Source organism: Homo sapiens, chromosome 14 (assembly GCF_000001405.40).
Source record: "Homo sapiens chromosome 14, GRCh38.p14 Primary Assembly".
Lineage (NCBI taxonomy): Eukaryota > Metazoa > Chordata > Mammalia > Primates > Hominidae > Homo > Homo sapiens.
This window is the reverse complement of record NC_000014.9, coordinates 66,739,290-66,756,907: the sequence shown is the minus strand read 5'-3', so window position 1 is coordinate 66,756,907 and position 17,618 is coordinate 66,739,290. Positions and strand designations below refer to the sequence as shown.

Sequence of the window (17,618 nt, the reverse complement as noted above, 5' to 3'; positions counted from 1 at the left end):
TGTCTAACAGAATTAGTTTAGAAGTATGCCTGTTCTGTTTTACATGATTCAGACTTAAATAAACATCATAACCTAGATTTATTATACTTCATTCTCATTATCAAAGGTGACTACTATTCTCAGCACATGTAAAATAACTGAAAGCATTTATTTATTTGAGGATCTTATGACAATTATATGTATCTTAATTTTGTAACCATCTCTTAATTAATGAAGAACTAGGTATATGGTACAAAGTTAATGTTGCCATCCAAAAGACAGTAAAAACAAATGATTCAAGTCCAGGATTGATCACTTAAAAACTTATGTGTTCTTGGAGCAAACAATTTTTTTTAATCTAAACTCCATATTGCTTGCCTATAAAATGGAAATGCAGTTGACTCTCCATATCCATGGAGGATTGGTTCCAGGACCACCGTGGATACAAAATGCAGAGGATGCTCGAGTTCTGTTGGCCCTCCACATCTGTGGATGCAAAGCACAGTTGTGCCCCTGCCTACACAACCACAGGTTTAGATAAGAAACCTGTGGATATGGAGGAATGACAGCAATATCATCATATGCCTCACAGGATTACTGTGAGCAACAAACATTTAAAAAAATATGTTAGGGCACTTTGTAAAGTTGAAAAAAAGCATTAAATAAATGATAGCTGTTAAATATTGACATGTACACATGCAATGAATATTCATATTTATTATAGGTATATTAAATCGGCATGTACTCCATAAGTACTTTTAAAGTTAATTTGTAGGGCAAAACATTCAAATTCATGAATATATTCAACAAAAACTTTTTTGAGCAACTTCTACCATGTGCCCCACAATATCCTGGGGTTAGAGGTAAAGGAGAGAATAAGATAGACAATCTTTGTGTTTATACAACTTATAATAAAGAGAGGAAGACATTAAGCAGATAAATGCACAAATATTAATTAATTACAAATGTGATAAGTTGGCAAGGAGAAAACTCTTGAAAGTCAGGACAAGTGGATTGTTGTACTTCTCTTGCTCATTCACCAGCCCAAATATTTATTTGGTACCATGCTAGAAAGCTCTCTTATTAACTATTATTTTCCTTTTGTCCACTTTAGAGAAAGCACAATGCATTTAAATTAGTACCTTTCCAATTCTGACTCACGCTTGAAATATATGAAAGAAAAGCATTCTAATTTGGGGAGGGAAGTATTTTATCTCATAACATTGGTTGATGATGTTCATGGGTCACAGGAATTTTTACGAAATTTTAAAATTATTTAAAAATATGTGACTAAATAATTCTAGCTACACACTGAGGTAAGATTTTACAGAACCATAAATCATAAAGAAAGGTACCTGAAAAAAATCACCAGAAAATAATGGTAGTTAAATAGCTCTACAGAGTCTACATCTCAAAGAGCCAAAGAACATATGGAAATTTTGCCAATAAAAGGAGTGCACTTTAAATGACTTCTGAGGAACTGTCTATTATTTATGAGTTACTTGCTCATTTTTATAAGGCTTAAAGCACTGAGACAAACTTGAAAAATTTCCCAGAGCCACATTTGTGACATAAATTTAGAGTAACAGCAAGCTTCATTTAAAACCCATGTTATGCAGTTATGCTCTAATAGATTAATATTAAGCAAACATAGTCAGTAAAGTCAAGCTAATAAATACATTTAATTCCTACAAGAAAACACCATTGAATGCTTAAAAATATTTGGCTTGCATGAACTTTACCTGATACCTCTATATAACCGATACTCTCTATACCTTTATAAATCCATATTCTTAGACAGTGAAGTCACCAGCCAATAGCATTGTTTTGCACAAAATCAGAGACAAAGATTTATTAGAAATTTAATTTCTAAGCAAGTAGGAAGACTACAAAATTAACAGTCATATATTTTTATTTAAGTTCTGCTGATTAATGTTTTATTTGAGTGCAGGATTTCATCATACAGCATTGTAAGATAAAATACTGTCTAAATAAGACCAAATAGTTCAATGTTAACATATTTTACAGGTTTCCATAACAGTGCAGGAAAAACAAATATAAAACACCAACTTAGGCTATATAATTGATTCTTAGTAAAGTTCACATTCCCACAGTTCACATTCATAGCACTTGAGATATAATGACAACTTCTCTGAAGTCTATAAAAGTCAAAAGGCTATTTTAATGTTTTAATGGAGGAAAAATTAGTGTAATTTCTGTATAGGCACAATAGTACAAAGTGAGCTTGGTGTAACAAGATTACTATAGAAAGAAAATTTAATTATTTAATAATTTTACAGAATAGTAGAAAATAAGTAGATCTTATTTCTATTATCGCATTATTTATATTACTCTAGAAAACCTTAATAAGATTTAAGATTGTGTTTTAAAAGGCCTATCTTACACATTTCTTCACCTGCTGCATAACTTACACATATGACTCACTATAGAGAGAAGTACATTTCACAGTTTTATTATTTTCAGATTATCTGATTATTATCTTTTATATATAGTTATCATTCTGTATTATGATATGAAAGTCACTAGTAGTATAAATTGAATATTCAGTATAATTAAATTACTATCAGTTTTCCCTCATAAATTTCTGGTGGGAGTGTAAAATGGCACAGTCACTTTGGAAAACTTTAAGTTTCTCAGAATGCTGAAGACAGAGTCACCATATGACCCAGAAATTCTACTACAACTAAGTACTTATCTAAGAGAAATAAAAACATAATGTTTGTACAAACACTTGTAAATGAATGTTCATACCATTATTGATAATAGACAAAAAGTGGAAAACTCAAATATCCATTAACTGATGAATAAATAAACAAAATGTGATAAACTCAGATAATGGATTACTATCCAGAAATAAAAAAGAACTACTAAAACATGCTTCAATATAGAAGCACCTTAAAAAATGCTCAGTGAAAAAAGCTAAACACAAAAATCCCTATATGTTGTATAATTCTATTGCTATGAAAAGTCTAGAATAGGCAAATCTATAGTGATAGGAAGTAGATTTGTGGTTACATAGTCTTAAGCTGGAGGTGGGAGAGAAAAAAAGTGACTGGTAATGGGCACAGAGATTTCTTTTGGGATGATGGAAATGTTTGAAATTACATTGTGGTGACAGTGGCAAAAATAAGTATACTAAAAATCACTGAATTGTGCACTTAAAATAAGTAAATTTTATGATATATAAGGTATATCTCAATAAAGCTATTTTTATAAATTATATTCGTTTTATTTTTCCCTTTCTAGCTGCGTGATTGCTGCATTAAGGCAGTCTAATAAATAAAACCAATAATGCAAGCAGTTTTCCTGTTGGATCAGTAGATTATATTTTGTTTTCACATCAATTGATGTGTGAAAATAGAATAGAATATAACTTTCTTTAAAATTTTTTTTTTTTGGCAGAATAGAAACTTTATATCAGTTAGCTATGACTGCCACCCTAAAACTCAGGGGCTTAAAACAATCATAACTTATTATTTATCCTAAATCTGTGCACTGCTTAAAAAATGGCTGCTCCAGGCTGGGCTCAGCTGGGTTCATTCATGAGTACATGGCTAACTGAAGAATTATCTGGTCCAGGCCTGGGAGTAGCTCTCCCCCATGTATCTCTCATCCTTCTCCTGACACCAAAATACTGTCACACATATTCTTATTGCATGGTGGATGTACAAGAGAGTAAGTATATACCCAGGGGCTCTATCCATTGGTAACAACAAGTTAAGTGGTCAAATACAAATTCATAAGGCAAGGAAGTCCACTCCACCCCCAACAGTGGGTTCCTAAAAAATTATATGGCAAAGGGCTTTGACGGACATGGTTGAAAATCAGGGCCAATAACAGAATCTACCATAAATTTTCATTATTTAAACACGTTTGTATATATTTTCTGTGGGTGTATCAGGATTCAATGCTACTAATTCTATATTACAATTATTTATTAAATCAATCTCTCTTCTCTTTTTTTTTTTTTTTTAACCACTCCTATTGCTTCACTTTAGGATTCCTGACTTAAGATTAACATGTTGGTCTCCTGTCTCTAGTCTCAGCTCTTTCTTGTCCATTATAGTCTTGTTGTTTAAGAAACACATTTTTTTATTGTGCTTCGCTTTATTGTGCTTTTCACAACCTGAAGGTTTCTGGCAACCCATGTCAAGGAAGTCTGCTGGGGCCATTTTTCCAAGTGCATGTGCTCACTTCACGTCTGTGTCACGTTTTAGTAATTCTCGTAGTATTTAAAACTTTTTCATTAATATCATGTCTGCTATTGTAAACTGTAATAATTAACCTTTGATATTACTCTTGTAATTGTTTGGAGTCAACATCAATTGAGCCCATATAAGACAGGGGACTTAATCAGTAAATGTGTGTGTTCTGACTGCTCGACCAGCTGGCCATTTTCCTGTCTCTCTCCCTCTTCTTGGGTCTCCTTATTCCTTGAGAAACAACATCGTTAGGCCAATTAATAACCCTACAGTGGTTTCTATTCAAGTGAAAGGAAGAGTCACATATCTCTCACTTTAAATCAAAAGCTAGAAATGAATAAGCTAGAGAAGAAAGCATGTCAAAAGCTGAGATAACCTTCTCTTATGGCAAAAAGCCAAGTAGTGCATACAAAGGGAAAGTTTTTGAAAAAAATTAAAAGTGCTACTCCAGTGAATACACAAATGACAAGAGAGAGAAAGCCTTATTGCTAATATGGAGAAAGTCTGAGTGGTCTTGATAGAAGCCACAACATTTCCTTAAGCCAAAGCCTAATTCAGAACAAGGCCCTAATTCTCTTCGATTCTATGAAGGCTGAGAGAGGTGAGGAAACTGCAGAAGAAAAGTTGGAAGCTAGCAGAAGTTGCTTCATGAGGTTTAAGAAGCTATATCTGTAACAAAAACATACGAGGTAAAGCAGCAAGTGCTAGTGTAGAAGCTGCAGTAAGTTATCCAGAAGATCTAGCTAAGATCATTGATGAAGGTGGCTATTCTATATAACAGAATTTCAATGTAGATAAGACAACCTTAAATACTGGAAGAAGATACCATCTAGGACTTTCACATAGAGAGAGGAAAAGTCAATGCCTGGCTTCAAAGCTTCACAGGACAGGTTGACTCTCTTGGTAGGGACTAGTGCAGCTAGTGACTTTAAGTTGAAGCCAATGCTCATTGACCATTCTGAAAATACTAGGGTCTTCAAGAATTATGCTAAATCTATCCTGCAGGGCTCTACAAATGGAGAGTTTCTGCACAGCAAAAGAAACTATCAACAGAATAAACAGACAACCTACAGAACGGGAGAAAATTTTTGCAAACTATGCATCTGACAAAAGTCTAGTATCCAGCATCTATAAGGAACTTAAACAAATTTAAAAGAAAAATCCAAACAACCCCATTAATAAGTGGGCAAACGACATGAACAGACACTTCTCAAAAGAAGACATACATGCAGCCAACAAGCATATAAACAAAAGCTCAACATCACTGATCATTGGAGAAATGCAAATAAAAACCACAATGAAATATCATCTCATAGCCATCAGAATGGCTATTAAAAAGTCCAAAAATAACAGATGCTGGTGAGGTTGCAGAGAAAACAGAATGCTTATAGACTGTTAGTGGGAATATAATTGGTTCAACCATTCTGAAAGACAGTGTGGTGATTCCACAAAGACGTGGAGACAGAAATACCATTCAACCCAGCAATCCCATTATTGGGTATATATCCAAAGTAATATAAATCATTCTATTATAAAGACACGTGAATGTGTAGGTTCACTGCAGCACCATTCACAAGAGCAATGTTTCTTTTAGGAGGCTTTAGAAGATCATGACGAAAATGTAAGTACTAAAATTTTTTCAATATCATTTATTGTTTTTCTGCTACTTTTAAAAATTCTGTGACTTCTAAAAAAAAAGAATGCTATAAATACAGACTTGACATTGATATGAAAATAACACATAATTAATTCTGATCCAAGCCCAACAAAATTAGAAAACCAGCCAAATGATATCCCAGCAGTACAAAAACTTTATTTTTAGGTCACTTGTGCCAACTTACCTCGTTTGCTGGAATCCAAACCAAAGCAACCTAGTACAATTAGGAGTAATAGTAATATGTGGCAGTAAGTCAGAAGTAGCAAAGTAATGAAGTCTTAGAACCGGTTTAATCAAACCTTGATTTCATTTGTTTTTGGATTCAAGCATCACATTTTCAGCATTGATAAAATACAAGAGGGCCAGTGATACTTAGAATTTTACAAAACATTGGTAAGCTTTAATTTACCTTTTTCCTGCTACCAAAAAATTAAAGAAGTACATGTTGACATTATTATGAATCAACTTTACCTGTGCTTAAAAAAGTGAGGGGGCACCAAGGTCATCCTCCTCCCTCACCTCCACTAAGTTAATGTATTTATGTATTTTCCTCTCTACATCTTTTTGGAGCCTTAAGACCATGGCTACTACTGGTGTCCTGGTCCTTTCCTTATTTCCTGACTTGGAAAACAGAGACTACAATTATAAGTCTGATTTTTAGTATGAGAGTAGTGATATGTCCTTGCAGAGCCAAAATTGGAATCCCAGCCAAGGAATGTCTTCCGAAAGAACTCAGAATCTTAAAAGACATGATGTGCAAAAAAAATGAATCTAAACACAGACCTGACAGCCTTCACAAAAATTAATTCAAAATGAATCAGACCTAAATGTAAAACATAAAAATATAAAACTCCTAGAATAGAAGAATATTTAGATGACCTTGGGTTGGTAATAACTTTTTAGATATGACAGCAAAGGCAACATCCTTGGAAGAAAGAAACAGTAGGTTAGATTTCATTAAAATTAACAACTCTGTTGACAGCAAAACTGGGTGACTATAGTCAACAGTAATTTATTGTACATATAAAAATAACTAAAAGAGTATAAATGGATTGTTTGTAACACAAAGAAAGGATAAATGCATGAGGTGATGGATACTCCATTTACCCTGATGTGACAATTACGCATTGTATGCCTATATCTAAATATCTCATGAATCCTACAAATACACAGACCTACTATATGCTCACAAAAATTAAAAATTAAAAAAAAAACCCTGCTTTGTAAAAGGCACTGTGAAGGGAACGAAAAGACAAGCCACAGACTGGAAGAAAATATTTTCAAATGGCAAATCTGATAATGAATTGTTATACAAAATATACAAAGAGATTTTAAAACTCAACAATAAGAAAATGAACAACTCTATTGAAAAATGAGCCAAGGACCTTAACAAACACATCACCAAAGAAGATACACAGATGACAAATAATAATGTGAAAAGATACTCCACATCATATATCATCAGTAAAATGCAAATTAATAAAACAAGGAGATATGACTATAAGCCTATTAGAATGTTCAATATTCAGAACACTGATAATACCAAAGGCTGGCAAGAATGTGAAACAACAAGAAGTCTCATTTATTGCTGGTGAGAATGCAAAATGGTATAGCTACTTTGGAAGACAGTCTGGTGGTTTCTTACAAAACTAAACACACTGTACCACATGATGCAGCAATCATAATCCATGGTATTTACTCAAAGGAATTGAAAACTATGTCCACACAAAAGCCTGTATGTGGATATTTATACAGACTTTATTCATAATGGCCAAAACTTGTAAACAACGAAGATGTCCTTCAGTAGGTGAGTGGATGATAAACAACTCATTTCTTTTTGCTCAATGGTAAAAAGAAATAAGCTATCAAACCATGAAAAGACATGGAGGAAACTTAAACACATATTACTAACTAAAAGAAGCCTATCTGAAAAGGACACACACTATAAGAATCCAACTATATGACATTTTGGAAAAAGCAAAACTATAGAGACATTAAAAATATCCATGGTTGCTGGTGGCTTGTGAGGAGAAAGGGATGAATAGGTAGAATACAGAGGATTTTTAGGGCAGTGGAACTACTCTAGATTATACTACAGTTTGAGTATTCTGAAGCTGAAAATCTGAAATCTGAAATGCTCCAAAACCTGAAAAACTTTAAGCACCAACATGACACTACAAGTGGAAAATTCCACACTTGACATCTTTGCTTTCTTATAGTTCGTTTTAGGCAAACTTTGCTTCATGCCTAAAATTATTTAAAATATTGGATAAAATTACCTTGAGGCCATGTGTAGATGAAACATAAATAAATTTAATGTTTAGATTTGGGTCCCATCTCTAATATCTCTCACTACATATATACACATATTCCAAAATCCAAAATCAGAAACAATTTGGTCTCAAACATTTTGGATAAGGGATATTCAACCTGTATAATGGTGCCATAATACATTTGTCCACACCCATGGAATATACAACACCAACAGTGAATCCTACTATAAAGTATGGATCGGGTAATAATGATACGTCAATGTAGCTTCAATGGCAACAAATATACCACTCTGGTAAAGAATGTTGATAATGGGGGAGGCTATGCATGTAAGGGTGCAGGGGGTATATGGGAAAATCTCTGAGCTGTCTGCTCAATTTTGCTATGAACCTAAAACTGCCAAAAAATAAAGTCTATTTAAAAAGTCTATAAATGCTGTGAATTCCAACAAACATCAATTAAAAGTATGTTATTATAATTCCATATACCATAGAAAGCCTGTGATAACTTTTGCAATTTAAATTTAAAAATGAGTTTATTAATAAGTACTATAGTAAAAGTATTTTTTTTGCATTCTCAAGTAATGGGGTAATTAACCTATGGTTTGCTTGACTTTAAAATTATTTTTTACATATTTAGTGTAAACTATTGTTAAATCAGTATTTCTCAAAGATGATAGCTTGAGCAGTGATATTAAGTAATTAATATTATTGGCTAGATGAATGACAAAATAAGCTTTAGGACGTACCATATTCCATTATTTCAAGTCCTAATGGCACATGATCCTACTTATTGATACATCATCACAGTTTATTAATACAGAAATAGGAGTAGATATGTAGATCTCTTTTTATTTAATGTTAACACTATAGTTCACTACCTAAGTAAATAATTTGGCATTTAAAATCTTAAAGGAAAAAATTTCATGTGTTCATTTACAAAAATATGAAATATCTTCCTTTTAACCTGCTGAACAAATTGCTTATTTAATTTATGTAATCATTTAAGGCACATTTTAACAAAATCCTCAGCTATGTCCATACATAAATGCATTAATGTACATTCAACATTACCAGAGTCCTGACCCCTTAAAAGTTTTATCTTAAAGAAAAAATAATAAAACAATTTTTAACATTAACTCTGGGGCAGTTTTGTTTTTTTTTTTTACAATGTACTATAAATGACTGTCTCAAATCTATTAACCCGTCCTGAGAAGGAGCTCTGCCTATCTTGTTCATTATAATATCTGCAATCCCAGGCCAAGAGTCAGTACTCGTTTAATTTCTGTGGAGTGAATAAATTAATGAATTAACATCTAATTTATAGTCAACTTCTTATGATGTTCTTGTTAAATCTTCCACAAACTTTATCTCATGTCAAAGATACAAATAAGAACAAAAATACCTGATGTTTATTTTATAATTACTTTTTTCACAGTTTAGAAGTTACTTAGTGAAATACTGAAATAAATGGCCTGACAATTGTATCAACAATACCATTTAAAAATCAATTAGGGGTCCTGATTCCAGTAAGATGAAATAAGACCAGACTCTCTTTATCTCATGCTAATTCAACTAAAAAACCTGGCTAGAGACTTATCTGAAAACTCTGAAAAGTTAACACTAGTAGACAGATGAGGGAAGAATACCAATGTTGAGTTTAACATTTATTTTCCTCCACTACCTCTGAAGCCAGAAACCCAGAACTGAGCACTATGTGGTGTGAGTGAGGTCCAGGAGAAATTTTCTGAACACTTACAGTGCAGACAGAGAAAGAGTAGGAGAAATCTCCAGGTTATTTTGTTTCCCCCTCTCCTCTTCCTCATTTTTCTATGCCCCAAACCCTGAACAGTCCCATGGCAGCTAAAATAAAAGAAGACAGAAATGAGAGACTGCAGGAGTCAAAACTCTGAGGGAGGTCGACCTACCTTTCAGAGAAGCAGCAATGCCAAAAGGGCAGCACCAAACCCTGTAGAATTTTTTCCCTATGTCCCTGTCTTCCCACCATGTAGCCTTGGTGGCATCTTATCACCAGTGCTAAATGGTGTGAGGATGTCGTAAAACTGCAGAAAGAAACAATTTCTTTTTTGAAGAACAACAATAACAAAAAAAACAGCCCCAAGGGAAGTAGAAAGTACTTAGGGAAGGGAGACCAGGAAAGCAACTACATAAAGTTGTTTTGAACTTTTACTCACCCTGGATCTGCCCATTTATGGATTTGATACTAATTAGCATATCAAATATTTAAAGGCCTTAGCTAAGAACAGATCTACAAGCTGGTCCCAGAGTGACCACTAGAGGGTACACATTCATGACAGATCCAAATTGCACACCAAAGTCTTGTAAAATAGAGCCAAGGTTAGAACCACACAATCCACAGAAGGCCAAAACAAAAATATCAATATTTTCCACAGGATCTAAATAAGACTCAGAGTCTTATAAAGTAATACAGGATACAAATTCACATGGGATAAGACAATTGATTGAGCCTAATACTGAAATGATGCAGATGTTGGAAAACAGTTTGGCGGGTTTTTATAATGTTAAGTATACATTTATCATATGAGCCAGCAATTGTACATCTGGGTATTTATAGAGAAATGAAAACTTATGTTCATACCAAAACTTATATACAAATATTAACAGTAGATTTATTTGTGACAGCCAAAAGCTGGAAGCAACCCAAATGTCTTTCAATGGGTTAGTAGATAAACAAACTATGGTATATATGTACAATGGAATACTATCTACCATAAAAATGAATAAATTATTGACATACACAACTTGGATATATCTCAGAGACTCTACTCTGAGAGAAGCTGGTCATACTTTCTGATTCTATTTATTTGACATTCTTAAAAACACAAACTATAGTGATGTAAAACAGATCTGTGATAGGCAGGGTAGAGTGATGATGTGACTATTAAGAAAGATCACAAAGGGTTTTTTACTGTATTATTATTATTTTTAAAAATTAAATTTTAAAAAAATAAAAATTCAATTAGGGCATCATGAACACTCATTATACATAAGTAAACTGTCAAGGAATTCAAGTTACTTTAATTAATATAATCAACTATATAATAAAAGTCTTAGTGGACTATTTCTAAATTATCTAAATTTACATTTTTTTCATAATTGGCAACACTTTCCACAGTTGCTAACATATGAATTATTCTACATCAAATTTCTGACAATATATAACAAAATGGTGAAGACATATCACTATCAAATTATCATTTATAATCCCTCACAGAATACTGAATCAAAAAATCTATAAATAATATTTTGAGATAATTGGAGAAATCTAAAAATAGGTTTGTATGTTATATTTTATGATATTATTGTCTCAATGTTAACATTTCCAGCATATGATAAGAGTACGGTGAACAATGTCCTTAATTTTAGGGAAACATGCTGAAGTATTCAGGGGTAAAGTGTCACTATGTCTGAAACAGTTTTTAAGTTATATATAGAGAGAAGGCAAGACAGAGATATAAATAGATACAGCATGTATTCTCAATCATGAGAATCTAGGTGTGCAGAGTGCAGCTGTTCATTATACTGTTGTCCCAACATTTTTTTAAAGTTTGAAAGTTTTCAAAATAAAAAGTTGTAAAAATAAGAGAGTTGAAGTATAACAATAGCAGCAAAAGGTGAAAATAATGAATTCATAACCAAATGAACTTAATGTAGTATTCATAACCTATATTGAGATGTAGAATTTTAACACTGAAAAACTTGATCTTTTAAGGCACGTTTGTCTTAAATGGCCTTCTAACTAAAGTGTAAGTAGAATTCATTTGACTTAAGACTTTAGAAACTTCTACCACAGGGACGAATCTTCCTTACCCCTCAGGATTTAATCCAAATGTCAAATACAACTTGGTATCATAAATCCTTATAAGTAAATAAAAAAAAATTGCATTGCTATATTGAATCTCTAACAAGTAACAGTGACTAAAATATCTACTGTCAAAGATGAGGCACCTTTTACAGATGGAATCAATCTACACAGAGTCCAATCCAGAGAGCCAGAATTTTTTTGTATTTGTCTCTAATAACATCTTAACAAAATGCTCAGTCAACCACAATTCCTAATCTTTCAGTATTCTGAAAATGCACTCAATTAATCAATAAAACTGAGTATTCACTATTTGTCTAACATCAGATCAGACTACTTGTATAAGGAAATTTATCAACATTCTTTCAAGGTGTAAGAAATGCAAAATGTATTAGATAATTCACTGTTTACTCTAAACATTAGACTTACAAGTAGGTAGCCTTGTGTGACTGAATGGGTGCTATAAAGAACTCATTCTCATATACAAACACACGTTGTGCCTCACCAAAGCCAATACAACTTAATTCCTTGTTTAAATTACAGGTAATGCTGAAGAGGAACAGATTTCCAACCACTAGTCACTTAAATCTTGGAGTGAATTGGCTGATCAGATCTTCCTTCCCTGAGAAAAGGATTAATAAGGGAGATCAAGAAGACAAAGAATTGGAAGAGGCTAGGAGGAAAATAATATGGAAAAGAAAGTAGCGTAATAAAATTAAATTTTGTGTAATAGAGTAACTCAGAATAGGCAGTAACTTACTTTAGTTAAAGCAATTTTATAATCAGGTTATAGGCAGAAGGCTACAGAAGATACACAGTTGGTCAACCTATTATATATAGCTATTCTAATTAAAATTGGAAGTTATGTTTTTATTGGGATAGATGAAAGATGAAAAAGGAGAAAGCTTGGAGCCTATTAGAAGAAAGGATGAGAAGTAGTAGTGTAAATAACAGGTTTAATTCTGAGGGTAATGATGAAATGTAATCGTTTCATTTAAAGTAACATAATATGGATATAGTTTATTCTTCACTAGTGGTGATTTATCCATATGGTGACTTGGCAAACACTAAATCCCCAAATTTTTCATTTTGCCAAGGTAATATAAGAAAAATACAAGAAGATAAAGGAAATAAGACTTGGTTAGCTGTTTTAAAGCAATTAAAGAGTTTTTTTGTTGTTGTTGTTGTTTTTTGAGATGGAGTCTCGCTCTGTCGTCCAGGCTGGAGTGCAGTGGCGCGATCTCCGCTCACTGCAAGCACCGCCTCCCGTTTCCACGCCATTCTCCCGCCTCAGCCTCCCAAGTAGCTGGGACTGCAGGCACCAGCCACCACGCCTGGCTAATTTTTTTTGTATTTTTTTTTACTAGAGAAGGGGCTTCACCGTGTTAGCCAGGATGGTCTCGATCTCCTCACCTCGTGATCCGCCCGCCTCGGCCTCCCAAAGTAAGAGATTTTATATGCAAAGGCAAGTAAGCTTTTCTGGATGCTCTAGTGAAGGAAATTGCAACAGGCAACAACACCAGTTTGGGCTTAGTTTAAGGGAGTTTGCTGGATATACTGGAGTGATCTAAGAAAAAAGAAAATAAAATTGAATATGTTACCTTGAAAAGTAATTAATTTTCTCTAAGTTTGTAGATAAAGACTAGAACACAATGTTTCAATTTATAGTGGGGCATACTGGGACTTTAAAGTGGGGGGGAAGATTAAAAGTCTACCAGAAGTATAAACTGGAACAATTAAAAAAAAAAAGAACTCTCTACACAGGGAATCAGGTCCCTCAGATGTAAGGGAGGCCTCACCCTGGAGTATTTTCCCAATGAGCAAACAACTGAAACAATACAGAGTCTTTATGATATTAAGGCAGTGGTGTCAATTTGTTGTGAATGAACAACAGTCCTAACTCCAACTTTCTTAAACAAGAAAAAGAAACTTAAGTATTAAAAAAAAAGAAATGCATCCTGGCTAACATGGTGAAACCCCGTCTCTACTAAAAATACAAAAAAAAATTAGCCAAGCATGGCGGTGTGCGCCTGTGGTCCCAACTACTCGGGAGGCTGAGGCAGGAGAATGGCGTGAACCCAGAAGGCCGGGCTTGCAGTAAGCAGAGATCGCGCCACTGCACTCCAGCCTGGGTGACAGAGCGAGACTCCGTCTCAAAAACAAAACAAAACAAAAACAAAAACAAGAAGAACAAAAACAAATGAAGGCCAGAAATTCAGGCTTAGAAAATAAGCAGAAATAAAATCAACTTCAAAAAGAGCAGGAAGAAAAATAGTATTTTAATAGAACAGCATGGCTTGGACTCTAACAATACATCACATATTTCTTCAACCCTAGGCCACCATCATGGCTGCTAAAAACTGTCACCGTTTCTTCTAAAAATCAATTCTACTATGGGGGTGGGATATTGAACAGTGAAAAAAATCAACACAATAAATTTCTATAACAAGAGCTATATAGGCTCAGGGGCATATGCAATCCTGCCCAAACAGGACGGAATCTTCAATATAATGGTCTCCAAATCAAACTGCACACATACTAGGAATGTGCATAATTATCCATTAAAAGAAGATATCATATATATATACATAAAAAATCTAATTCTCTTTAGTTTCTAATTTTGTGGTATGCTTTATAATGGATAAAATAGTGTAACAATTAACATGTATCAGAATGTTAAGGCCAAAGTGAGGTATTTATTATATTGTCTATGAAGGAACTGTAAACAATGAGACTCAAAACTGTTTTTGACACTTGTGACACCACCCTGGGGGATATAAGAATGTTGAAATCTAACAAGGCAAAAGAGTTCCTTTTGGAAAAGTGTTGTTAGAGTGTTTTGACATTTTTAGGGAGATGGTGTCAAGGAAGAGCGTTCAATAAAGCATTCTGAGCGTTTGACATGTATCCCTTGGAATTGTGGAAAAGCTTGTTTTTGCTCAAGAGGACTAAAAAAGAAAGACTCACTGGAACCAATGAAGATAGCAAGGCAAGGAGAAAGGACAGTAAGGTGGAAGTTTACACTTTGGTCATTTAGCATGATAAAGACAACGGGTTTTTATCATGAATCAATTGGACAATACTGAAGGTAACTGAGCCAAAGCCAACTCAAAGGACTTTATCCCTGTATCAGAGGCTGCCAGGGTGAGGAGATATTAGAAGGAGGCTATGGGATATTCTGCTGGTGACAGTAGCTACAAAGGACTTGAGAGGAAGAAATAATTTGATGTCAGCTAGAAAATTAACTTTTATTTTTAGTAAAGTAACATATGTACAAACTTGAAAACATAAGACAGTGATAAAATATATATGATGTAACAACAGCTGCCACCTATCCAACCATCATTTCATAGTGATTCTGCCCAAAGACAACAACTTACATGTCTTTTATAGTTGTTTGTCTCTGGTATTACTCTCCACATTTCCCCCAACCTTTTATATTAATGGACTTCCTAATATTGAATTGCCTTATACTCCTGAATAAATCATATATGCATGTAACATACATACATATATATCCTCTACTATGCTCTAAATCTCATCAAAGACTGTATATGGTTTCACAAGTCATCTCCAAAATCTAGTGCAACGTGTAGCACACAAAAGACATTCAATAAATATTTATCATATGAATAAATTAAAACAAAATTATTTGCATATTATATTTATCTCATAAATATTGCTAGATCTTACACATATTGAATAAGCAAATCAAGAACGTCTTCAAAGTTGCTTACTGCTATAGTTTGAATGTGTTCCCCAAAAAGCATGTGTTGGAAACTGAATCCCTAATGTTGGGAGCTGGGACCTGATGGGATGTGTTTAGGACATGAGGACTCCACCCTCATGAATGGATTAATGTCAATTATAAAAGGGCTTGAAGCTGCAAGTTTAATTTCTTCCTCTCTCACACACATGCTCTCTTGCCCTTCTTCCTTCTGCCATGAGATGCCACAAGAAGGCCCTCACCAGATGCTAGCACCTTGATACTGGACTTCCCGGCTTTCCAGAACTGTAAGAAATAAATTTTTTCTTTATAAATTACCTAATCTCTGGTATTCTGTTATAACAGCACAAAAGGAACTAAGACACTTACTAAATTGCACCTAAATGAAGACTCTCAGCTTAAATCCCCAGTAATCAACAGTTCAGTGTGTTGCAAATATTCAAGGCCTTACTCTTTATAAATTTTCCACTAACTTTTATTATTCATCCACTTCATTTAAATATACATTAAGAATCTATAAGAGCCAAATATCAGTCATTTTAAAAATATGATAAGCACTTACCACAGGAAAAGCACAGATATAGCACAGAAAAGTTCTAGAATACATCACTAAGTACCACTTTTTAATACTTATTAGCAGCTTTCTGGCTTTTTTTTTTTTTAAGTACTAAATGTTCAGTTTAAAACAACTGGGAAATACAAAGAGCCTACAAAGAAAATTTTAAAGTACCTGTATCCCTAGTATTCAGAAGTAAGCTCTACTATTAAATAAGATATTCTTTCTTTTTATATGTATCGTTAAATAAATAACATATCTTACTATTCTTTGAATTTGAGATCAATGTATAAATGTAATACTCTTAAGGTAAATATTTCCCTCATGACGTTAAGTATTTATAGTAACATAATTTGTAATGGATGAACTATTAACTCTCTGATCCTTCCCCTACTGTTGCACATAATGTTTTTCCTTTTGTTTTCTTCTTATAGAAAGCTCTAAAGATGAATGAGCATATTTGACCATATATTTGATTATATTTTAGACATTTTTGTGAGATATATCATAAATACACCAGTGTGCATGAAACAGTGTAGTTTTGAACCTCTTTCTTGTTTTTGAATTTTTGCTCTTTGTGATAAATTCTCAATAATTTCTTTTAGCCTATTATTCACTTTGCTATTTCTCTCTTCAATTGTATCTGTTCTGCTGTTATACTCCATGTGATTTTAAATTTAGATTATTTGTTTCCAATTCTAGAATTTCTAATTGATTATTTTCCAAATTTGCTAGGACATTTTTACAGTTTGCTGTTCCCTATTGATTTTTTTTAGGCTTTTGCTTTTTAGTTTTATTTTGTTTAACATATTAAGTAAGCATAGTTGTTTTTTACTCTATATCCAATCATTCCAATATTTAATGTCTATGTAGGGTTGATTCAGCTGCTTAGTGTTTCTGATGATTCTTATTCATAGTACTTCATTTCCTTGTAGCTTTTCGTGTTCAGTGGTAAATAATGTATGGTATTTCTTTGAATTTTAGGACAAAGTGAATTCACCAGAGAATCTGCATTTGTTTTGGTCAGTTGTCCGAACGCACTATCCATCATAGACTACTTTAAACTAAATTCATACACTTAAAGTGTTTTTCCTTCCATTGATGGTTTTGTTTAAAAAAAAAAAAAAAAAAGCAGGGGCCGGGGGTGGTGGCTCACGCCTGTAATCCCAGCACTTTGGGAGGCTGAGGCGGGCAGATCACGAGGTCAGGAGATCGAGACCATTCTGGCTAACACAGTGAAACCCCATCTTTACTAAAAATACAAAAAATTAGCCGGGCGTGGTGGCGGGTGCCTGTTGTCCTAGCTACTCGGGAGGCTGAGGCAGGAGAATGGCATGAACCTGGGAGGCAGAGCTTGCAGTA

General features: G+C 33.6%; 1 protein-coding gene and 1 long non-coding RNA gene across 21 annotated transcripts in view; both read right to left on the bottom strand.

The window, feature by feature from the left end:
• GPHN (gephyrin) overlaps positions 1–17,618 on the bottom strand; it is a 1,227,209-nt gene that overhangs the window by 978,448 nt on the left and 231,143 nt on the right. The gene's annotated exons all lie outside the window — the stretch shown is intronic.
• LOC124903332 (uncharacterized) overlaps positions 1,874–17,618 on the bottom strand; it is a 32,329-nt gene continuing 16,584 nt past the window's right edge. Inside the window, exon 2 of the long non-coding RNA XR_007064219.1 lies at positions 1,874–17,618. This exon is cut by the window's right edge and continues 15,964 nt beyond it. This is a non-coding gene — a long non-coding RNA (uncharacterized LOC124903332).